This window comes from Homo sapiens, chromosome 8, assembly GCF_000001405.40.
Source record: "Homo sapiens chromosome 8, GRCh38.p14 Primary Assembly".
Classification (NCBI taxonomy): domain Eukaryota; kingdom Metazoa; phylum Chordata; class Mammalia; order Primates; family Hominidae; genus Homo; species Homo sapiens.
Window position 1 is genome coordinate 138,295,550 of NC_000008.11, and position 25,212 is coordinate 138,320,761.

A 25,212-nucleotide genomic window follows, 5' to 3' on the forward strand; every position below is an offset into this window, starting at 1 on the left:
AGAGGTGCCTGCCAGCCAGGACGAGGGGCACTTCCTGCAGGGAGTAGCCTGTGAGCAGAGTTCTGAAGGAAATGAAGGCGTGAGGAGGCAAAGCAGAGGGGAGACAGAGGGAGACACATGCAAGCATCCTATCTTCTCGTGTACATTAGCAGAGATGGCCAATCTGTGATCTGCACAAACCCATGGTTAGGAAGCAGAAAGGAATGTTCAGATGAAATATTAAGGAAAGATTATGTCTTTTAAAGCAAGATTATTCCTGCCTGGAAGATAAAAGGCTTTGTGTAAGTGGGAGTGGAAAATTGAGCTGCAGAATTTGATGATCTGGTAGGAAATAAATAAAAAAATTGAGGGGCAAAAGCACATTTGTCAGGTGTCACAGAACAAGCAAAGGCAGCCTCTACCTGAAAGAAACAGAAAGCAGTCCAGCCTGAGTGAAGGCATGCATCCGGGATGATTTCAAAAGTTTTATTTCAGAGACCTTGAAAATAAGGCTCAGATATTTGCTGCTAATGAATGCTTTTTAGTCTATATCAAATGCCTCTCTATAGCTTTTTTCACTGTGGACTGAGACTTCTTTGAAATCCTCTCTGGTTCTTGTCTTTTCCTCTTAATTCTCTGGCTATTCCTCCTCAGGCATCCTCATCAACTTGTTTTTATCTGCCCACCCCTGAATGTTCACACAGCCTCAGAAGGCCTCGGCTGGCTTCCTTTCAAATTTCACAGAATCTCCACCTTCAAACTTATCCTCCCATCTGGCTTTAACCTCTGTGTATCTGCTGGTGACTCCACATGAATTAACATCAGTTCAGATCTTCCAACGAACCAGCTGAGTCCCCGGTGCTGGGCTGTTTATGCATTTTATTATATTGAATTATTTTTAGGCAATGGAGCTCCTTCTTTCCCAGCCCCCCAACTCAATCTTACATGGAAGTCTAATCTGTAAAGCAGACAAACATAATTTTATGAAAATAATTTAGTTTATATAGTCCAAATGGGTAGCATTTGCTGAAGAAAATCAGTGAAACCATGAAGCTATTCTGGTTGACATGCAAGTTAGAAATCAAGAGCTATGGAGCCTTAGATAAGGAGTTTTTTATTTTTCTGACAGCATAAGATAGAGTATATCTAACATCTACAAGCATCACTGTTTGTACATACGTATTTTGTGTGATATATATTTGATTCATCCCATCCCTTTTCAAAATCTTTGGCTCTGCTATTCATTTTTACCCCCCAGGGTAACTATTTCTCTTGCTATTATTCAAAAACCCTAAAATTGATTTTTTTAATAAAAATTTGGGATCAATTATTGTTTCAAAGTCCCATTACTTTATCTAGCAAATGTTCACACTCCCTTCCTCATGAATACTAAAGCCGAATGAGAGGTATGGGGAGCTCAGGGTAAGCACTGAAATCACACATAGCCCAATTTGTCATGACCTGGGATGCCATCTGTTCTCATGTCATTGCACAACTCTGTGCTGAGCGATGTGACCCAGCCAGGCCTGGCATCTGGGCCCCTCATGTACAGGTGCTATGGAGGGGCATGTCTGCTTGCATCATGTCACGTGATCAGACGTATGCATCTGCTACGTCACTCCCTCAATGCCACAGAGTTGAAATATGGAAAGAAAGGAAGTCTACACAAAAACAGCTAAGAAATATAGCACGAGTCCATGACGGTGAGAAGGACAGGCAGAGCCGCTGCCGTTTGAATATTAATTCCGTGACAAGGGCTTGCATGACCTAAGTAAATCTGCAACATGACCCCACGAGACAGGGTCTACTCCTGCTATCATGCTCATATGCAGAAACTAAGGCACTGGGCGCTTGCCCAAAGTCTCACCATTTTAGAGGTGGAGCCAGGATTTGAACCCAGACACTAGAAGTTATATTCCTAAAATAGGTCTTCACTGTATAAATATTTACTAAAATAATAAGACAAACATTTCATTCATTGCATTTTTTAAAACATGTAACATATTTAAGAAAAGCAACTGAAATAACATGTGTGTAGTTAACCTAGAGGTCAGTCCGTGGAACACTGTCTGAAAGACCCCTAAAAGTCTAATCTTGTCACTGCTGCATCAGTGTGAACGTCCAATGAGAGCTGGGAGTATGAAGAGAAGGAGGATAGTGAGGATGCTGAGCAAAGGAAGGAATCTGGTTCTGCATCAGGCAGTGCCAGGGGCACAAGGGGAAGCTGAACATCCAAGAAGGAAGACAGCTCTGATGGATAGGACTTAAAATTTTGATTAGAGGCAGAAGTGAGGGTGGATAAGGGGGTCAGGATGAAGCTCAGGTCCATCTTGCTGGGCCAGCTGCATGGCAGGGCCATTTATCAACAGAGCGAATTCCCTCCTTCAGCAGATGCTTGCCACAGGTCCTGTTCCCAACACCACGGGCACAGAAGGGAACAAACAACACTTGCCCAGACCCGGGAGCTGGACCATCTGGACTTGAATCCTACCTCCACGACTTAATACTTGGAGAGCCTTGGGCAAGTCAGTGGCTTTCTCTACACCTAAATTTCCCCTTCTGCAAAACAGGGACCTATTCATATAACTTATCACATAGGGAAGATGTGATGAGTTAAGTACAGCATACATATGAAATATTACAAATAACTCCTGGCATGTAAACACCACTCAGTAGGAGTGATCTGCTGAAAGTAACATTATTATTAAATTCAAGAGGAGATGCAGACGAAAAATAACTAAGCCCATATATAATAAATTAACTGAAGTCACCTAAAGAAAAAAAGAGTAAGGACTTGCGTATCAACAAGTGAAACAGACAATCTATTCAAAGAAAAAACTGAGCAAGAATTCCTCTCTCAGAAGGTGACATTTGAGCAAAGACCTGAATTAATTAAGGAAACAAGCTAGACAAAGATTGGGAGAGAAATCACCAAGTGCCAGACAAAAACATACCCAAGTTCAGAAGCTCTGAATTGGGAATGAACTTGGTGCATTCAAGAATGAATAAGAGTGACAGGGAAGAGGGATAGAAGATAAGTGTAAGAGGAACCCAGCAATGAGATGACCCCAAGCGAACCAGGACCTGTTAAGAAGTCTGGATTTTTTTTCTCATGGTTTACAGGATACAATAATATAATAGTGACAAGCCAGACTGTCTGAGTTAGAACCCTGACCCCACCTCTTATTATACCTTGGCTAGGCCATAGGCTCATTTTTGACTATGAGTATTAACTTGTGGATTTTTAAAAAACTATTCCCAAGGAACACACAATGGGAGGGACAGGGGTATCAGGACCTCTGAAATGCAAAATGAGAAAGGGGAGTGTTCTCAGGGTAACAGTCCTGCTCACAGAGATTCTATACACCCCACACTGGGTCCCTTAGAGCCATTTCAAAAACGGTGCCTGTAATCCCAGCTACTCGGGAGGCTGAGGCACAAGAATCACTTGAACCCGGGATGCGGAGGTTGCAATGAGCCGAGATCGCGCCACCGCACTCCAGCCTGGGCGATAGAGTGAGATTCAGTCTCAAAATAAATAAATAAATAAATAAATAAATAAATAAATAAATAAATAAATAAAATAAAAATAAAAAATAAAAAAACACTCTAACTTTTGGTGATCCCGCTTCCTAGCAATTATATTAAAATATACCCAATTTTAATTATATTAAAATTTCCCACAAATGAGTCAGAGAAATATGTATTATTTTCTACAACATGTGTTTTCAAAATTAGTTACCTCCTAATAATCCTTGACTATCTGTTGCCTATCAAAGAAGGCCCAATTCATCCACTATCATGAAAAGTAATTCTTAAATGAGGAAAGAGAAAATTTCATGTTTTTATTATGCAGATGAACTCCCCCCTCCAAACAACAATGAGCCCAGCAGAGGTGGACCCAACTCCACCAGAACTGACACCCACTCACCAGGCCTCACCATTTTATTTGTGTTTGCCTTGGCTGCCAACGGCAGGCTACCTGGAGTCTGCAAGCTGCCCAGTGGCTTAGGGAATGGTTGAGATACGCATGCATGTATACATACACATACACACATACACACACACACACACACACACCCACGATCCAAATATAAAAATTAAGCTGCAGAGTCAAAATTAATAATGCTTAATTGAATTTCCTCAAAATGATAGTCCATTGGTCTCATGAGTCTCTATGAAAATGTCAGTGCATTTGCAGAGACCTTGTAGGTAGCTTTTCTTACTTTGTAACATTTCTTAAGTATGCAGAAAAATCACAAATGCTTATGAATAAAGAGTTAGTTACCAGGAGGTAACTAATTTTGAAAACACGTGTTGTAGAAAAATAATACATATTTATCTGATTCATTTGTGGGAAATTTTAATATAATTAAAATTGGTATATTTTAATATAATTGCTAGGAAGTGGGATCACCAAAAGTGAGAGTGGTATTTATTTATTTATTTATTTATTTGAGACGGAATCTCGCTCTATCGCCCAGGCTGGAGTGCGGTGGCAAGATCTCGGCTCACTGCAGCCTCCACATCCCGGGTTCAAGTGATTCTTGTGCTTCAGCCTCCCGAGTAGCTGGGATTACAGGCACTATTTTTTAAAGGGCTCTAAGGGATCCAGTGTGGGGTGTATGGAATCTCTGTGAGCAGGACTGTTACCCTGAGAACACTCCCCTTTCTCATTTCACATTTCAGAGGTCCTTATACCCGTGTCCCTCCCACTGTGTGTTCCTTGGGAATAATTAAAAAAAAAAATCCACAAGTTAATACTCATGGTTAAAAACGAGCCTGTGGCCTAGCCAAGGTATACATTCAGCAGAGCCTGGAGACTGCCCTCCTGCCGTTTATGGCAACCAGTATTCCATTTGCCTAACAGCTTCCCTAGCTCAGAAATAAAATCTGTTCCTTTTCAAGATTACAGTGCTTTCCACCAGCACCCAATGAAAATGCATCTGTGAGCAGGTCAAGAATCAAAGTCCTCTGCTGCAAAGGTCCTCAAAGATGTGGCTTTCACATTTAAAGCATTAAGACTACAGAATTTCTTCTTATAACTGTTAAGCCACCAAGAAGAAAAGACTAAATCATGTAATTATCCATCATTAGTATCAACCTATTAGCTACAATTTTAGAATTCCAAGGTTCTAGGAGAGCAAAGAATTTATCTTGTGCAGCCCCATGTGAATTTCCTCTTCAATATTTTCTTCCCGTGCCATTTTATCCACTTTTTTTTTTTTTTTTTTTTTTTTAGAGACTGAGTCTCGCTCTGTTGCCAGGCTAGAGTGCAGTGGCACTTTCTCAGCTCACTATAACCTCCACCTCCCAGGTTCAAGCGATTCTCCTGCCTCAGTCTCCCGAGTAGCTGGGACTATAGGCATGCACCAACACGCCCAGCTAATTTTTTGTATTTTTAGTAAGGGCGGGGTTTCACCATGTTGTCCAGGATGGTCTCCATCTCTCGACTTTGTGATCTGCCCACCTCGGCCTCCCAAAGTGCTGGGATTAAGGCATGAGCCACTGCACCCGGCCTTATTTTACTTTTAAATTTTGACTTAGGAGATCTGGGAGTCAGGATCAAGAAACTGACCTTAGCAAATGCCCATGGGATTCTGTGAGTCAGGACCTTGGGCCACACATTGAGGAACTCTGCACTATGCGATGTGGACCCACATGCTGTGGTTTGAGGGGGTACAGAACAGTTCTCCCCACACTGATCCTAAATATTTTCCATGAGGATAACTCAAATGCCAGGCATCATACTTCATTCTTAGTCTATCAGAAACCTTCTGACCAAAACAGAAAGCGGTCGTCTTGCCTCTTTTGGTTACTTTGTTTTCTCCAAACAATCAGGATTTTTTTTCTTTAAGTAACGCTTTAATGACTATGAGAACTCTAAACAGCATGGTGTTCCACTGATATTCTTTCTACCTAAACAGCCTATTTTGCCTGGCCTTCAAGAGCTCAATTTTCTTTTTTTTCCTAACGGCATGACATTCAGCTTTCCACTTCCTTTTGTTCTTTGCTCCGAGCTCTGTCTTCAGATGTGGCTTTTCATCCACTCATTCAACAAATACACATGAGATGCCTACTCTGCCCCAGGCCCTCTGCTAGGCACCAGCCAGCCAGCATTGAAGAAAGCAACATGGTGCCAACAACTTGGAGTGTGCATCTTAGCATCACCTTCCTCATGAAAGATTAACTTATATCTCTAAGTATCAAAAGAACAAAAAAGCTTTCTCATGTTAAAAAGACCTGGATGACTCCAAATAGATGCACACAATTTTATAACGCCCTTTTCATTGTGCATGGCCTCATACCATGCTGAACCCCTGCTTGAAACCTTTGGTACAAGAACAGTTCCGTGCTGTGGAAGACAACATCGCAGCTGGGCATCTCAGGGTTCAGAGAGAGCTCTGGACCAGTGCCTGGCACACAGGAGGCCCTCAAGAAGCTTTGAACAAGTAAAACTCCGTCAGGACTAACATTCCAGTCCATGCAACTTCCCCACCTTCTGTTATAAAACTAAAATAGCCAGTGTTGATGAGGGTTCCTCATGTCGGACTCCCTTTTCAGTGTGACATTTTTAATTCTCACAAAAACCACATGAAGGAAGTGTTATTATTATTATTATTATTATTCCCATTTTACAGAGAAGAAAAATGAATTCCAAGGAGGGGGGTGAGGAGTCCGAGGTCATCCAGTGTGAATGCGGGCCCAGGCTTCTGATTCTAGAATCTGTGTAAGTGGTACTCTAGAGACAGAGGTTGTTCTCTCTTCCACCCACAAGGCGAGCCCCTCTGAAGCCTTGTGCTACATCTCTGGATGCATGCTTCAGGGGCCCTCCACTTGTCCCTCATCCCTAGATTTGTTTGCTTAAAACTCATTGTACTGGGTGAAGTTTCCCATGCAGCAGCTGTTAATGCCACTGCCTGAGCAAGAAGAAGGTAGTCAAGCTAACCAGGGGACCCTGGAGCCTTATCCCCTAGGGAACGAATGCAGGGCAGGGCTGTTGACTCCAAGTGAGCCAAAGTCATAAAGATCTGCTGGGGGGACCCTTCTCATTTTGAGCAGATGAAGATTTGCCTTGATGACCTGCACCAGAAATCAGGACACCACAAGTCAGTTGTGCCTCACAAAAGAGGGCACCTTGCCAAGGAGGCCCTCCTGAGCCCTGAGTCCCTGGGGCCTCCCCCCTCCCAAGCCCACATCGCTCACGTTGTAATTGCCACACAATCTCTCTGTCCACACCCTGGTCTTTGGGCCCCATGAAAGTAGCGCCAGCCACCAAGCTCGCTGTCAACAGCGCCTCATACACAGCAAACTGTCAAAAGTAGAATTTTATGCTGGGTAAGTATCTTAACAGAAATCACAACACGTGCCAGTTAGAATGGGGATTATTAAAAAGTCAGGAAACAACAGATGCTGGAGAGGTTGTGGACAAATAGGAACGCTTTTACACTGTTGGTAGGAGTGTAAATTAGTTCAACCATTGTGGAAGACAGTGTGGCAATTCCTCAAGGATCTAGAACCAGAAATACCATTTGCCCTAGCAATCCCATTACTGGGTGTATATCCAAAGGATTATAAATCATTCTACTATAAAGACACATGCACATGTGTGTTTATCGCAGCACTATTTACAATAGCAAAGACTTGGAACCAACCCAAATGCCCATCAATGATAGACTGGATAAAGAAAATGAGGCACATATACACCATGGAGTATTATGCAGCCATAAAAAAGAATGAATTCATGTCCTTTGCAGGATCATGGATGAAGCTGGAAGCCATCATTCTCAGGAAACTAACACAAAAACAGAAAACCAAACACTGCATGCTCTCACTCATAAGTGGGAGTTGAACAATGAGAACACATGGACACAGGGAGGGGAGCATCACACACCAGGGCCTGTCAGGGGGCAGGGGGCAAGGGGAGGGAGAGCATTAGGATAAATACCTAATGTATGCGGGGCTTAAAACCTGGAGATGGGTTGGTAGGTGCGGCAAACCACCATGGCCCATGCATGCCTATGTAACAAACCTGCACGTTCTGCACATGTATCCCAGAACTTAAAGTAAAATAAAAAAATAAAGAAGTAGCCACTATGCTAATCCCAATTTAAAAAGAAAAGAAATCACAACAAATGTGATTTCTAAGAGATTATTCCTGCCAGATGTGGCAGGGGGTGGTGCAAGGCTGTGGTGTCCTGGTGCGTGCACCTGTGCATGAGAATCCATGCGTATGTGGGCTCCCAACAGGACAGGAAATCTATCGAGTACCCACATATGTTACCTGCACTGATCCTTCAAACATTTCTACAGGGTCATTCCTATCATTGCTATTCCCATTTATAGAGAGCTGAAGAGTGGCACAGAAGCTACTGGTTCAGGGCTACAAGAACCTGGGTGGACTCAGGTTTGGCCAACTTCAAACCCTACTTCCTAATTGCTATACTATTTTTAGCAGCTTTTGGACACAGATGCTAAGGCAGCAGAAAACGATGTATTGTTAAATAACTTATGATGGGTGTGCTGTCAGTGAGACCCAGATGGGGAATGGAGAACCAGGGTAGGGAAAGAGAGGAAGACAGGCCTGGGTACATTTCAGAGGTCCTGAGAAGGGCACTTCAGCCCATCAGGCAACTTGGGAGTGAGCCTTACCTCCCATCCTGAGACAAGGGAGCTGGGTTTCCATGACCCTGTGTTAGTAGCCATTTGTTCGCAGCAAGGGTTGGGGTGAGGATGGGGGATGATGGGATTCAAACTCCCAGGAAAGTTTAATTATTGGACAAAATGCTTCCTGTTGTCTGGGAGTGGTCCTCCACAGGGAAGCCCCAGGTTCTGGGGACTGGAAACACATTAAAATAGTGTAGAAGAAGCACAGAAATGCAGGTGGGGTGTGGAAGGGGCTACGTGCTGCATGCCTATAGTTTGTGCGAAGGACGTTCAGTTGAGTAACTATTAATTCTGACAGGGGCAGGAGACTGCCCTTAGACCACCTGGTCGTTGAAGGCTGCATGCATTCTTTCTATAAGTCCATTGGGAGGAGAGGTGGGAAAGAAAGAAAAAGGAAGGGGTAGGCATTCAAAGTTGAAGGAACTGCAAAAACAGGAGCTGAGATGAGTCAAGGCACAAGACTGCACGGAGACTGATGGAAGCTCCTGAAGGAGGGCCCTAGTTGGCCAGCAGGTATCATGGCACAATCTCAAGGACAAAGGATACAGTGGCAATGCTGGCTTGGCCCAAAGGAAGTGGGGTGGTCACCCACGTCCCTGACAGAGCAGATTCCTGGCCTGCTCGAAGTGGAAGGAAAGGGCCCTGGGCTTGGCATTTCTGAGTTGACTGCTGTGACCTGCCTGGAAGCCAAAAAGATGGAAGAGCCCCTTTTAAGTGCTTCGCTTAATCAGGAAGGCCACTCTGCCACCCACCCTGCCGGCCACCCTGCCGGCCCTGGGTAGGCTCTTCTGTGGCCCCAGGCTGGTACTTAGAGCCTGGGGGCTGCAGTGTTTTACCTGCTTAGAATTCTCCATGAAAACAGACATATTTGATATTTAGGTGCTTTAATGGACCCTGAAAAGAAATTAGATTGATTCATTTGAAGAATAAATGTCGGTCCCCCGCCCTCTACATGGTAAAACTCTTAAATGCTTCTACTTAATGGAAATGGAAATTACCTCTCAAAACATTACAAAAACTAATGATGGCAATTTTTATATGTTTCCACAATTTACTGTGCTATCTTTTCTCTTGCTTTGATGAGCAATGACTAGTAGATGCCTGTTTTGTGCCTAATCATTTGCTGCAGCCTCACTCGACTTGAACAGACCCCGCTCCCAAGCATGATTCAACTGATCAGCCCCCTAAGGGAAAAAAATAACATCTCTAGGTAGGAAGAGGCTGTAGAATATATTAAATAGCAACATTTTGGTGGAAGAAAAGAGCCAAGGCTAAGTATATTTAACATCTGTTCACACAGACATGGACATACCAATTATTTGTAACCCTGAACTCAAAAGAAAAAAACAAATCTGAGACCCGCAAAACATAAGCAAGCCTTTGAAGAAAGCATAATTACATTTTAAAATGTCTTACACCTGTTTTATCTTCCTGGAATACCTGAACTCTCACATTCAATTAATTAACATTCATCTTTGTATTTCTCAGGGCATAGTACAATTTCTGGCTTGTAGGAGGCATCTGAAAAATTTGTTGAACTCAGATAAATATCAGTTTTGATCCAAATGTCATATGCTTGACTGACAAGTATAATAAGTGAGCATGTTAGAAATAAGACAGACCAAATCAATTATACATACACACATATATATACATGTATATATTTATATGTATAGACATTTATATGTATAGGAAGACCACTTGAAATTATATACACACATGCATGTATATGTATACATATGCATGTATGTTTGTGTGTGTATATGTTATGTCTTATGATTACTACAAAGAATAGTGAAAGTAGCATTCAATTTGAGTACTGAGACACACAATGAAGTTTCTGAAAATCCCCATCACACTTTTACTAAGAAAAATTTATGTTCTGTTCTATCTGCATAACTAGCTGTTGGCAAGCCACATCCTATTGGCAGGCCTCCTCTTAGAAACTATTAGATGAGGCCAGGCGTGGTGGCTCACGCCTGTAATACCAGCACTTTGGGAGGCTGAGGCGGGCAGATCACTTGAGGTCAGGAGTGCAAGACCAGCCTGGCCAACATGGTAAAACTCCATCTCTACTAAAAATATGAAAATTAACCAGGCATGGTGGCACACACCTGTAATCCCAGACACTTGGGAGGCTGAGGCAGGGGAATCATTTGAACCCGAAAGGTGGAGGTTGTGGTGAGCCGAGATTGCACCACTACACTCCAGTCTGGGAGACTGAGCAAGACTCCGTCTCGAAAAAAAAAGAAAAAAAAAAAAGAAAGAAAAGGAAACTACCAGATGAGACTGTACAACCTGGCTTTCCCTTGAATGTTTAGACCTCGTCTCTCTAAGGGTCCACAGGAATGCAGCAATAATACAAAAAGCCTGTCACAGTGTATCATTCTTTTTTTTTTTTTTTTGAGACAGAGTCTCACTCTGTCACCCAGGCTGGAGAGCAGTGGCGCGATCTCTGCTCACTGCAACCTCTGCCTCCCGGGTTCAAGCAATTCTCCTGTCTCAGTCCCCCAAGTAGCCGGGACTACAGGTGTGCACCACCACGCCTGGCTAATTTTTTCTATTTTTAGTAGAGATGGGCTTTTGCCATGTTGGCCAGGCTGGTCCTGAACTCCTGACCTCAGGTGATCTGCCTGCCTCGGCCTCCCAAAGTGCTGGGATTACAGGTGTGAGCCACCTCACCTGGCCACAGGCTGTATCATTCTTTAAGGCCATTGTGGACACAGAGATTAGCAAATGCTGCTGGTCACAGTCTTGGTCCTGAGCTGGTTGTCCCAGCCATTCCTGTATCCCACTCTCTTATCGTCCATCGATGTCCATCTTCCCATCTTACCTTCACACTGAATGTTCAGCAACATCCCTCCTGTTTAACCTTGGCACCTGACATGGTTTTGCTATGTCCCCACCCAAATCTCATCTTGAATTCCCACATGTTGTGGGAGGGACCCAGTGGGAGGTAACTGAATCATGGAGGCAAGTATTTCCCATGCTGTTATTGTGATAGTGAATAGGTCTCATGAGATCTGAGTTTTAAAAAGAGGAGTTCTCCTATACAAACTCTGTCTCTATTTGCCTGCTGCCATCCATGTAAGATGTGACTTGTTCCTTCTTGCCTTCCCTGGTGATTGTGAGGTTTCCCCACCCGTGCAGAACTATAAGTCTAATTAAACCTTTTATTATGTAAATGGCCCAGTCTTGCGTATGTCTTTATCAGCAGCATGAAAACAGACTAATACAGCACCCCTTCACCCATGCTATGAGGGCCCTCTGTCTCACTTACATCAAATCACCCTGTTTAAATATCCCTTCTGTCACCTCTGCCTTAGGAACACTTCTGTTGGTTCCACCTGCAAGCTTCCCTTGAATGCTTGACTTCCCTTGAATGGTAAGACTTTTTATTAACTGATAATATTAATAATAACAGCTGCATTTTATTTTTCCCATTTTGTATCAAGCACTATGCTAGGGGCTTTGTCATCATGTCCTCAAATCCTCTCTGAAACCCTAGGCAAAAGGTATGACTATCCCCATTGTGGTAAAAAAAAAAAAAAAAAAAAGAGAGATACATGGAACAAAACAGCCAAATGAAATCATTTATTCCAACAAGATCATTCAAATACTGAGTATCAAAGACATCATTAAAGTCCAAATGTTTTCACTCCTCCTGGTTCTCTTCCAATATGCTATATTTTTGCCTAAAGATATATTTTTCTTTTTTCCCGTCAGAAATGCATACAGATAATGGAAAATATGTTTGGATAGTTGGCCAGAAATAGGACTGCCAGAGTTTCCTCCCATCACTGTACATGCAGACAGTGCTTCCAATGAACGGCGAGAGTCTATTTCCGTTCCCCTGGGGCTGGCCTTGTCACCTGCCCTGAACAATGAACTGTGGAGGAAGCAACCCTGGGCCAGTCTCCATCTAGCCCTTAAGTGGCCTGGAATCCTCTTCATTTTCTCTCTGAGGAACTCAGCTATCATGTAAGAAGTCTGACCACCCAACTGGAGACAGAAGCCCAGCTGTCGCTCATCTGGTGCAGCCACTCCAACCAAGGGGTCAGACACAGATGAGTGAAGCCATCTTGGCTGCTCCATCCTCAGCTGAGATCTCAGCTGAAGGTAGTGCATAAATGTCCCCAGCCTAGGCTGGCTAACTCAAAACATTATAAAAGAATAAGCCATTGTTAAAAGTCACAAGTTTTGGAGTGCTTCATAATGCAGCGGTCTCTAACCAAAAATAGTATAATTGGAAAATTCACCTTGAAGAAGAAATACAAATTCTGCACATCCCTCACCTGGGGCACAATCTCATTGTAAATTATTGCTGGCCACTGTGTTAATATTCTGTTCTAAACAGTGTGCTACTGTAAAGCTCAAGGCATACCAACTTCATCATAATTATTCTTCTGTTAAACTATACTAGAAAAGAAAATAGTTTTTTTTTTATTTTCTTTGTCTCTGTGCAGCACTATCTCAAGCCCTTCTCTTCCCCCATTACTCGCTGGGCTCTGCCAACCACTGAGCATCCTGCAGCCCTCTGGTCCTCACAGCTGGCGCCTGCCAGCTCCAAAAGATGGCTCATCCGGTGACAGGACCCAAGCTCCTGTTGTCCACAGTCACAAGGAAGAAGCAGAGTCCTTGACGGGAGCCTGGGCATGGCTTTCATCAGGTTGGCTGTGGTGTTATTTCTGCTTCACTTCTAGGTCTCCTCTCCGAGGCTTTTACCTTGACCCTGAGAGCAGGTTCCTCAAACCCCTGATGACATGACCACAGGTAGGACTAACTGGCTACTTACCTTGTGCTGGTTCTTGTTCTGACATATGTATATTTAGAACCTCTGTGAAATAGAAAGTGTCCTTTTTATTTATAATTTCTAAGACAAATATCTATGAAGAATGCATTTTTATCCTCATATTTCAGGAAACTAAAGTTCAAGCTGCTCATGTTATTATCCAATGTACACATATGGACACTGGTTCACGCAGGGCAGGGTCCAAATCCCCTGCTCTCTCTGTGGACATCAGGGACCTTCTTCTGTTGGAAGGTAGGGTGGGGAAGGGGTGAAGCACAGGATGATAGGAAAGGAGGGAACTACTGGATTCTTAAATCACTCTGGATCTACACTGGACCTAGAAGAATGGGTGGCCTACTTATCAGATGCCTGATTCCTTCCCAGGAGAGAGGGGTGGAGGGAAAGAGGAGGAACACCTTGGAAATACGGCAACTTGACTGTTATTTAATGCTTCACTCTGCTCAGAGGCAAGGGAGAAGCCAGTGGCCATCAGTGTCTTTCCTTTTGTAGATCACAGACTTGAGTTATCCTATTGCTCTGAAACCACAGGCCTCTTCTCATGTTCTATCATGTGGCCTGGGGAACCAGGTCCCCCTCCAGATGTCTTCCATGGTAAATTTAAGCAGACCACCACATCTACTTTCCTGACTTGTGGGTATTCAATTGCATGTGATTCCTCTCACCATAACACGTTGCAAATTCCAAGTGAATTATATGAAGTGTAGCTATGACCAGTACTCTTAGCTCTACTGAACTGGATTTCTACAACATTCTTGGCTACTCGTACTTTATAATTAAACAGATTTTGCACAGCTCTGTCTGTTTACTTTAATGCTCCCTACCCTCTACCCTACTCTTTAAGTCTTTCTACTTTTTTTTTTTTTTTTTTTTTTTTGGAGCTCCACTCTGTCACCCAGGCTGGAGTGGAGTGCAGTGCAGTGGCACAATCTTGGCTCACTGCCACCTCCACCTCCCAGGTTTAAGTGATTCTCCTGCCTCAGCCTCCTGGGTACTGAGATTGCAGGCGCCCGCCACCATGCCTGGCTAATTTTTTTGTATTTTTAGTATAGGCAGGGTTTCACCTTGTTGACCAGGCTGGTCTCAAACTCCTGACCTCAGGTGATCTGCCCACCTTGGCCTCCCAAAGTGCTGGGATTATAGGCATGAGCCACTGCACTCAGCCTCTCCTTCTTCTTAAGGTCTAGCTAGTCTACACAGTCCTCCCAAATTTACTAATGCAAACTCCTAATAGCTCTACTAGTTAATATTATGTCTGTCTTTATTTCTGGCATGGTAAGTTCTCTTTTTCTGACTCAACACTCTGTGATAGACTACCTGCTCAGAGCCCTGGTTACCCACTTTGTACTCCAGCCTTCTCAAGATCAGGATCTGAGTTGTCCTTGGCAATCCTTCTCCTCAAGCTGGGAGCACTGCTCTTGGACCCCTCAAGGTGTATGAAAAGTGCCACCGACACCGCCTACTCACTCAGTCCTCTGTACCTAGTTGATTCCCAGGTTCCCTTTAACAGGCTTCTCTACCCACTTGCTGGATGTCATTTCCTACCAGCGTCCTCCCTGACTTGACTTTAACCAACCCTCCACAGCCAGTTTATCTCCAAATACTGGCTGTTCCTGGGAAAGTGTATTTTTCTTAAGCCAGGTTCCCCTTGCCACAATGTACACATATGGCCACCTCCAACTGTTGGTTTCCATTTCCAAAATTCGCCATCCAACATTCACCACAGATTGACTGAGTATGTCTACATGCCTTGCACTCTGCTGTGCCCTGGCGAGCAGTGACAAAGGGAGGTTCGCCATTGGGGGCAAGTGCCCCATTGCCATTCTTCTGCTCACCTGTCTGCCCAGCGATGGAGGCACTCAGTCTGTGGGGGATCCTTGAAGACACCTTCAAGGTCACTCGGATCTGGTAATACCTAAGAAAAGAGAAGAGGACAGGGTGCTGAAGATCAGCCTTCTTAACGTTGACTTCTAAAAATACCTAGAATTAATCCTGAAAGCCATAGGAAATCAGGGAAGTTTCTTGGCAGCATGCACAATCATCTGGCATCAATGAGAAATGCATTTTATCAGCAGAGTTGGAGAGGGAAGTGACGGGGCAGTGTTGGAGATTGGAAGTTGAGTTCACTTGAGATCACACAAGACTGAACAAGGTTGGAGGTGATGGGAATAGAGAAAAGAAAGAGATGGGTCATGTGACACAGTTTCATTAAGAGGTGTGGGTTTTATTTAGTCAAGAAAGGTTATTGTTATAGGAAAGTAGGTTATTTACGCACAGTGGAGAATCCATCTATAAATTGAGTTTCTATCATATTGCAACACAAAAACCACTTCCTTTAGTAACACAGCCACTGAGTTATTCTTGGAAGTGTTGCCAAATGCACTTTTCCCTGTGTATTTCACCTTCCTTAATTTTAACATAGCACTCCCATTTTCAAATTCCACCATTTCAGGACAATGTGCAGGTTCTCCTGATGTCAGTTAACTCTCTAATGTGCCCTCTTTTGCCCCAAGTACAGAAGCATCTTTTGAAGTTCTGTGCTTTGCAATTAATGACTTTTTGCTTGTAAGCATTTGAGGACATTTCTGGCATCATCATTGTTCTCTTCTTTTACTGATTTGAAACCCATTGTGAAATGGAATGTGAATAAACCAAAGTGAAATATAAGGAAAATGGACCATGAACACATCAGTCTCCTGTGGCTCATTGAGCTCATAGCTGGGCGAGCACCCTGCTATTGACATCCTTGCACTGCACATACACTCGTAGAATGTTTCTGCTGGCAGTCTCTTGCTTGTTTTTAATGTATAAATGATGAACAAAAATGAAGAGAAAAGGGCACTGGCGCTGGATTCATAGCTGCAGCATGAGTGACACATTTCCAGCTGTGTGACTTTAAGTACATCACATAACTTCTCTGAACTTGTTCCTGTATCTGTAAAATGAATATATATATATTGAGATGGCATCTTGCTGTGTCTCCCAGGCAGGCATATAGTGGTATGATCTCAGCTAACTACAACATCTGCCTCCTGGGTTCAAGCAATTCTTCTGCCTCAGCCTCCCACGTAGCTGGGACTAGAGGCACGCACCACCACGCCTGGCTAATTTTTGTATTTTTAGTAGAGACGGGGTTTCACCATGTTGGTCAGTCTGGTCTTGAACTCCTGACCTCATGATCCACCTGCCTCAGCCTCCCAAAGTGCTGGGATTACAGACATAAGCCACCATGCCCGGCCAAAATGAGTATTTTTCAAAAGTACCTGCTATGACTTCTGTTTCCAGAAAGATGAAGTGACAGACATACTTTACCCTATTTTTCTCACTAAGCACAACAAAAGCTCTAACTGTATACAGAAAACAAGCAAATGAAGATGCTTCAAGGTAGAGAGGAAAGCAGACAGGTTAGGAACCTCAGGACCCAAGGAGAGACATGCTGGTGAGGCTTCTGCATTTCCTGTTTCCTCATATATCCCAGACTGGATACTGGAGAAGCCAAGAAGCCAGAAAAGCTAATAGCCACCAACAAGAAAATTATACAAAAAAAAGCCCTCTCCCTCCAGCCGAAGGATCAGGAAGAGAACAGCCTAGCAAGACAGAAAACTTTTAGGCAACAGCTGTCTACTCCAGTCAAGAAACAGAAAACACTGTGGGCCCACCTCCACCCACACCAGCAAAGGCAAAGTGGGAAGTCTAGACAGCCGCCATCCCCAGACTGCATGAAAACACTGCATCCCCACCCAACCTGCCAAGAGAAGGACTTCAGCAGGGAGCCAGGCTTCCATCCCTAACAGATGGCAAAGAGAACCCCACCTGTTCAGTTGAAGTGGAGACCATGTGGGGAGCCTGGACCTCCACCCACCACCCCGCAGTAATGAGGGCATACATATGCCCATGTGATTTTCACAAAGGTGCAAAAGCAATTCAATGGAGCAGAGATCGCCTTTTAAAATAAGTTGTCCTGAAGCAATTGGCTATCCATAGACAAAATAACAGCCACTACCAACAAACAAACCTCAACTTTAATTTCATATCTTATAAAGAAACTATTAATAACTCAAACTAGATTGTGGACTTAAATGAAAAATATAAAACTATTAGGAAACAGAGAAAAGTTTTAAAATTATTCATTTTTTCTTTCTTTGAGACAGAGTCTCACTCTGTCACCCAGGCTGGAGTGCAGTGGTGCGATCTCGGCTCACTGCAACTTCCGTCTCCCGGGTTCAAGTGATTCTCCTGCCTCAGCCTCCCAAGTAGCTGGGATCACAGGTACCCACCACCATTCCCAGCTAATTTTTTTATTTTTAGTAGCAACTGCGTTTCACCATGTAGGCCAGGCTGGTCTCGAACTCCTGACCTCAGGCAATCCACCTGCCTTGGCCTCCCAAAGTGCTGGGATTACAGGCGTGAGCCACCGTGCCTGGCCTAAAACATATTCTAAACACAGAATTAAGCAAAGAGTTTTTAGACTTGGTACAGAGAACATGAACCATAAAAGAAAAACATAATAAATTTTGTTTGTTTGTTTGCTTGTTTGTTTATTTTGAGAGATGAGGTCTTGCTATGTCGCCCAGGCTGGCATCAAACTCCTGGTCTCAAGTGATCCTCCCACTTCGGCTCCCCAAAGTGCTGGGATTACAGGTGTGAGGCACTGTACCCCGCAGATAAATTTTAGTTCATTAAAACTAAACACTTTTGTGCTATGAAAGACACTGTTAAGATACAAGCTACAATGTGGGAAAAAATAGTTGCAAATCACATGCAGTGGACCTCAGTATCTGTGTATTCTGTATTTGGGAATTTGTTTACTCAAAAAAATTTGTTTTAGCCCCAAATGCAACACTCACAGCACCTTTGTGGTCATTCACAGACATGAACACAGTGGTAAAAAGTTTGAATCTTCTGACACTCGGGTGCCCAACTGAGGTTAAGCAATACTAAAAACAAGTATCCCTTTTGCAATTTATTTAGTCTCACATATTTGTGTACTCTTTGCTTTTTGTTGGTGTTCCACTGTTTGAGATGGACCCCAGGCATAGTACTAAAGGGCTGTCTAGTGTTCCTAAGGGCAGGAATGCTGTGATGTGCCCCATGGAGAAAGGATGTGTGTTAGATGAGCTTCACTCAGCTATGAGTTACAGTGCTGCTGACTGAGATCAATGGTAATGAATCAACAGTACATATTAAGTGTGGGGTATCTTTAAACAGAAACACATAAAACAAGATTATTTATTGATCAGTTTGGCAGAAATGTGACCAGAGGCTCACAGGAACCTAACCCTCTATTTCCCCCAGGAACAGTGGTTCAGCATTTGTTAATTCAGTGTTCACGGTGACTTTACAGAACATACTACTGTAAATATTGAGAATTGACTATCTGACAAAGGACTATTATCTAGGATATATAAAGAACTCTTGGAACTCAGTAGTAAAAACAAACACACCAATTAAAAAGTGGGCAAACGCAAGAAAAATTTCACCAAAGGGGACACACAGAGGGCAAACAAGCTCATGAAAAGATGCTCAAATGTTCATACACAAAAAGCAAAACAGAGTATCAATGCAGTCTCTATTAAAATGCCAGGTCAGGAGTGGTGGCTCATGCCTGTAATCCCAGCACTTTCGGAGGCCGAGGCTGGAGAATTGCTTGAGCCCAGGCTAGGCAATATATGGAGACCCCATCCCTACAATAAATAAATAAATAAATAAATAAATAAATTAGCTGGGTGTGGTGGCAGATGCCTGTAGTCTGTAGTCTCAGTTACTTGAAGGGCTGAGGTGGGAAAATCACTTGAGAACAGGAGGTTGAAGAGGAAGTGAGCTGAAATCACAACACTGCACTCCAGCCTGGTTGTCAGGCGGAGACCTTACCTCAAAAAAAAAAAAAAAAAAAAAAATTCGAAGGGCATTTTTTATACAAATAGAGAAAATAGTTCTAAAATATGTATGGAACCACAAAAGATATTAAACAGCTATAATACAATCTTGAGAAAAAAGAAAAATGAACAAGGTAAAATGGCCACTTACAATCAAAAGAAAATATTTGCAAACAATATGTCTGATAAGGGATTAGTATTCAAAATGTATAAGAAAATCATGCAACTCAATAGCAGTAATAATAATAATAATAATCCAATTTAAAAGGACAAAGGACCTGAATACACATTTTTCCAAAGAAAACATTCAAATTACCAACACGTTTGTGAAAAAGTACTCAATGTTACTAATCACCAGGGAAACACAAATCAAAACCACAACAACATGTCACCTCATACATTTTAGGACAGTTATCATGACAAAGACAAGAAATAACCAGTGTTGATGAGAATGTGGAGAAAAGAAAACCCTTGTATTCTTTTCTGATAAGAATGTAAATTGGTATAGCCATTATGAAAAATAACATGGAGGTTACTCAAAAAAGTAAAAATAAAATTGCCATATGACCCAGAAACCCCCTCTGCTCATGTATACCAACAGGACGTCAAAGTCAGCACCTCATGGAGAGATCTGCACCTCCACCTTCATTGCGGCATTAGTCACAATAGCCCAGATACAGAAACAACATAAGTGCCCAGCAATGAATCAATGAATAAACTGTGGAATACATATCAATGTACACACACACACACATACACATGCACTCAAACAATGGAATGTTATTCAGCCTTTAAAAAAAAAAGAAGATACTTCCATTATCAACAACATGGATGAAACTGAAGAACATTATGCTTAAGTGAAATAAGCCAGATACAGAAAAAAAAATACATGATCTCACTTACATGTAGAACATTTTTAAAAAAGGAAGTCAAACACGCAGAAAGAGAGAATAGGATGATAGTTACCGGGAACGGAGAAGGGAAAGAAAGAAGAAATGGGGAAATGTAGGTCAAAGAGTATAAACTTGCAGATATATAGTATAAATAAGTTTAGAGATCTAATGTACAGCCGGAGGATTATAGTTAATAATATTGTATTATATACTGAAATTTGCTAAGAGAACAGATTTTAGATGTACTTACCACAGAAAAATTTAAAATAAAAAAAGAATGCCACTTTGGAAGACAGTAGATGTGCTACTCTGCTCACATATAATGATCATTTCACTGTATATTTGTTTATCAAAACATCATGTTGTATACTTTAAATACATACAATAAAATAAATGTTTAAAAAAGATATTCAACATCATCAGACAAAATACTAATTAAAACCACAATGAGGCCGGGCGCGGTGGCTCACGCCTGTAATCCCAGCACTTTGGGAGGCCGAGGCGGGCGGATCACGAGGTCAGGAGATCGAGACCATGGTGAAACCCCGTCTCTACTAAAAATACAAAAAATTAGCCAGGCGCAGTGGCGGGCGCCTGTAGTCCCAGCTACTCGGGAGGCTGAGGCGGGAGAATGGCGTGAACCCGGAAGGCGGAGCTTGCAGTGAGCGGAGATCGCGCCACAGCACTCCCGCCTGGGCGACAGAACGAGACTCCGTCTCAAAAAACAAAAAACAAAAAACAAAAAAAACCACAATGAGATGCTACAATTCACTCATCAAAATGACTAAAATAAAAAACATTGACAACACCAGATACTGGCAATTATGCAGGCAAAGTGGATCACTCACACATTGCTGGTGGAAATGTAAAATGGAACAGCCACTCTGGAAAACGTTAGCTAGCTTCTTTAAAAATTAAACATACGGCCGGGCGTGGTGGCTCACGCCTGTAATCCCACCACTTTGGGAGGCCAAGGCAGGTAGATCACGAGATCAGGAGATGGAGACCATCCTGGCTAACACGGTGAAACCCCGTCTCTACTAAAAATAGAAAAAGTAAGCCGGGCGTGGTGGTGGGCGCCTGTAGTCCCAGCTACTCAGGAGGCTGAGGCAGGAGAATGGCGTGAACCTGGGAGGCGGAGCTTGCAGTGAGCCGTGACCGCACCACTGCACTCTAGCCTGGGGGACAGAGCAAGACTCCATCTCAAAAAAAAAAAAAAATTAAACATACAACTGTCAAACAACCCAACAATTGCCCTCCTAGGCATTTCTCTTAGAGAAATAAAAACTTACTTATGCAAGAACTTGTTCAAAATGTTTAGAGAAGCTTTATCCACAATACTAAAAACTGAAACAACCCAGATGTCCTTTAGTAAATGAATAAACTGTGGAAACTACTCCTCAATAAATAAGAATGAACAACTCATACACAGAACAATCTGGATGGATCTCCACACAGTTGTGCTCAGCAAAATAAGCTAATTTGAAAAAGGTGTATATTTCCATTTACATGGCAAGTTTAAAGTTGCAAAATTATGAAAATATAATACAGATTAGTGGCTGCCAGGGGTTGGGGAGTGGATGGGAGAGAGAGGCAAGCGGGTGTGGCTATCAAAGAGCAACATAAAATGTGAGATCCACGTGGTGATGAAAATAATTTGTATCCTGACTGTCCATATCAATATCCTGACTGTGAAATTGTACCATAGCATTACAAGATACTACCATTAAGGAAACTAGATAAACATTATATGAGATGTCTCTGTACTACTTCTTAAAACTGCATGTGATTCTACAACTAACTCAAAATAAAGCATTTAATTGAAAAACATAAAAGGCATCTGTCCTGTTCAACAGGAAAATCACAGTGACTGGATCTATTGGAAAGGATAAGGCTCCATACCAACTGGAGAAAACGCAAACGCCTACAGGGGCCAGGCAAATTACAAAAATGAAATTGTAAGAAAACCTTAGGTTCCACCAAATCTATCTTTTTATTTTCTGCTTTCGATGGATATACGGGACAAGAAACAATAACCTACCATCAGAAAATCCCAGTGGAAGCACATTTACAAATGACCATGACATGTGCCTCTGTGTGAGGGCAGCAGTGGCCGCCTTGGCCACAGGAGCAGCTGCTACTTAGCAGTGGCTTATTACGACCCCGCAGAAACATTGACTGCGTGTTGCTAGATCTTTCAGTTTTTCAGGGGAAGACAGAAATTTAATTTTGTAATAAAACATCTTTAAAATGCTAAATATTTGTTCACAAATCAATGGCAATGACAACAGCAACATCAGCAATAGTAAAAACAATTAGCAGCGGCAGCCATGGCCACAACGTTAGCAATAAAGCACTGTGTCAACAAGATAAAACACATTTGCAGACTCAATCCTCATGGGCCAATAATTGGCAAACCCTGATTGACACAAATACAAGATGTTACTTTTAGTATTTCTTTAATAAAAGATCTATGTATTTCAGTAATTTCATGAAGAAGGAAAGGGACATGAATCCCATCAGCACCGCCACCAACTGTCACATTGTAAGGGTGCCTTCTCTGAACATATTAATACAATGAGTCAGTCATTGCCAGGGGCTATGCATCCCTCTCCCATCCCACTGCACTTGAAGTGGTTACAGCTATGCTCAAGATTTATTAAGCATTTATGTGGCAGGACCTGTACTAGCAACTTCCATATATGCAATCTTGGTTGATCCCCCACAAATCCTATGTGAAAGCAAGTAGCAGCTCAAGGGTAAATGAAGGAAGGCATTGAGCCATTGGAAAGATCTAACCAGTTATCCGAAGCCACAGAGTTGGCAAAGGGCAACCAGGATTCTAACTCCAGAGATGGGTGTTTCCTTTTCCCTGATACCCCTCATAGGAAGCACATTTTGTTGTATAGCTACGTCTCTTTTATGGCTGATTCCAAAGTGCTTTTGAATTGTTTCTTAAAAGCCCTTGATGCTACTGAATCTTACTTCAAGAACTTAATTATATTGAACTTCAGATACTTTATAGGAATAGGGTGAAAGTTTACATTTCAATTAGGTTGACCCATTCAGGTTCTGTCCTGATTAAACAGAATGCTAAAACTGCTTTAGTAATTTCCTTTTATCTCATGGGAAATTTCTACCAAGTCATAAATCCACAAACCACATATTCATATATGATGTGCAAGATACTGTTTGATCCCCATAGGATGTCTTTAATGTACTTACTATGATTTCTGTCTTAAAGATGGGAAAATTAACATTTAGTGATAAAGATTTGTGCAAGTTCACAGACTCAGTAAGTAAATCTACAAGTTTTTTTTTTTTGTTGTTGTTGTTTGTTTGTTTGTTTTGAGACAGAGTCTTGCTCTGTCACCCAGGCTGGAGTGCAGTGGCGCAATCTTGGCTCACTGCAACCTCTGCCTCCCAGGTTCAAGCAATTCTCCTGCCTCAGCCTCCCAACTAGCTGGGATTACAGGAGCAGGCTACCACACTCAGCTAATTTTTGTATTTTTAGTAGAGACGGGGTTTCACCATGTTGGCCAGACTGGTCTTGAACTCCTGACCTCAGGTGATCTCCCTGCCTTGGCCTCCCAAAGTGCTAGGATTACAGGCGAGAGCCACTGGCCCGGCCTCCAAGTATCTTTTAACCATCTTAGAGCCATCTCCTACTACCTGGGGTCAAGTAAGTTATCATAAAGAAAGGAGCAGTTTGCTTAAATTGTTGGAGAATTATCAAATGGCAAAATAAGATGGGCCATTGGTTTCATCAGAATGGGGAAAGAAGCTAGGATGTGGAAAACTTCAGGCAGTATGCTGTTGTGTTTCAGTAGCCTAGATTTGCACAGAACTCCTTCTGGGATATAGTAACAAAAATAGTCATCCTTTATTGATTTCCCTCTGTATGACTGGCACTAAACTATGCCCTTTACATAATTTGGTAGGCATAATAATACCCCCCAACCCCTGACATACACCTCCTAATGTTCAGAACCTGTAAATATGTTGGGCAAAACAGAATTAAGGTTGCAGATGAAATTAAAGCTGTTAATCAGCTGGCCTTGAAATTTGGAGATTATTCTAAACTTCATGGGTATACTCAATGCAATCACAAGAGTCTTTTCCTTATAAGAGAAAGAAGGAGGCAAGAGACAGAGAGAGAGGGACAGAGTAGTGCAATGTGAGAAAGACGTGACCAGCCATTGCTGATCACCAGCCAAGGGATGCAGGCAGCCTCTATAAACTGGAAAAGATAAAGAAACAGACTCTTCTACTGCATGGAGACTCCTCTAGCGCCTCCACGCAGTAATACAATCCAGCAGGAATACTGACTTTAGCCCACATTTCAGAATTCTAACCTGCAGAATTCTAAGATAATAATGTTATGTTGTTTTAAGCCACTTAGGTTATGGCAATATATTATAGCAGTAATTGTAAACTAATGAATACAGGCTTTCAAATTTCCTCCTCATGACAAAACCAACAGATGGGAATAAATATCCTCACGTTAACAACACACAAATTGTGACTCAGAGAAGTTAGGTAATTTGCCCACAGTCACATAGCTAGTCAATGGATAGTTTAGGGATTAAAATGCAGGGCCATTTGGCTAGCACCAAGCTTATTTTAGGGAAGGCAAAGCCAGGTGCTTTAACGTTATAAGCCCACCTCAATTTCCTCATCACTCTTATCACAGGGGCCCAGCTGGATTCTCGCTCTGATCACTAATTTTCTAATATCGTCTCTCGTTTCATGTATTTCATTGTTTTCTCAAAAGCACCTTGAGAACAAGAATGCTACTATTTACTTCTTTTGTATTCCTTAGAGGTCTCACAGCTGTGCCAGAGAGAGAAAAGCAACTAATGAACATCTGTTCTCAGTTGATTAGAGAAATATCCATTACCACCAGCCACTGAAGGAGACAAGCCATGCACCATTCATCTCTGTATCCCCAGAAACTAAAAGAGGACTGATGTGGTTGGCATTCAAT

General features: G+C 42.5%; 1 protein-coding gene across 14 annotated transcripts in view; it reads right to left on the reverse strand.

Annotated features, from left to right (window-relative positions):
- The window catches only part of FAM135B (family with sequence similarity 135 member B), a 367,708-nt gene that overhangs the window by 165,527 nt on the left and 176,969 nt on the right, over positions 1-25,212 (reverse strand). For all 14 annotated transcript variants that reach the window (NM_001362965.2, NM_015912.4, XM_011517062.2 and 11 more), the window contains one exon: positions 15,292-15,371. In NM_001362965.2, the coding sequence (NP_001349894.1) occupies positions 15,292-15,371 (80 nt within the window). The remainder of the gene's footprint in view (positions 1-15,291; positions 15,372-25,212) is intronic.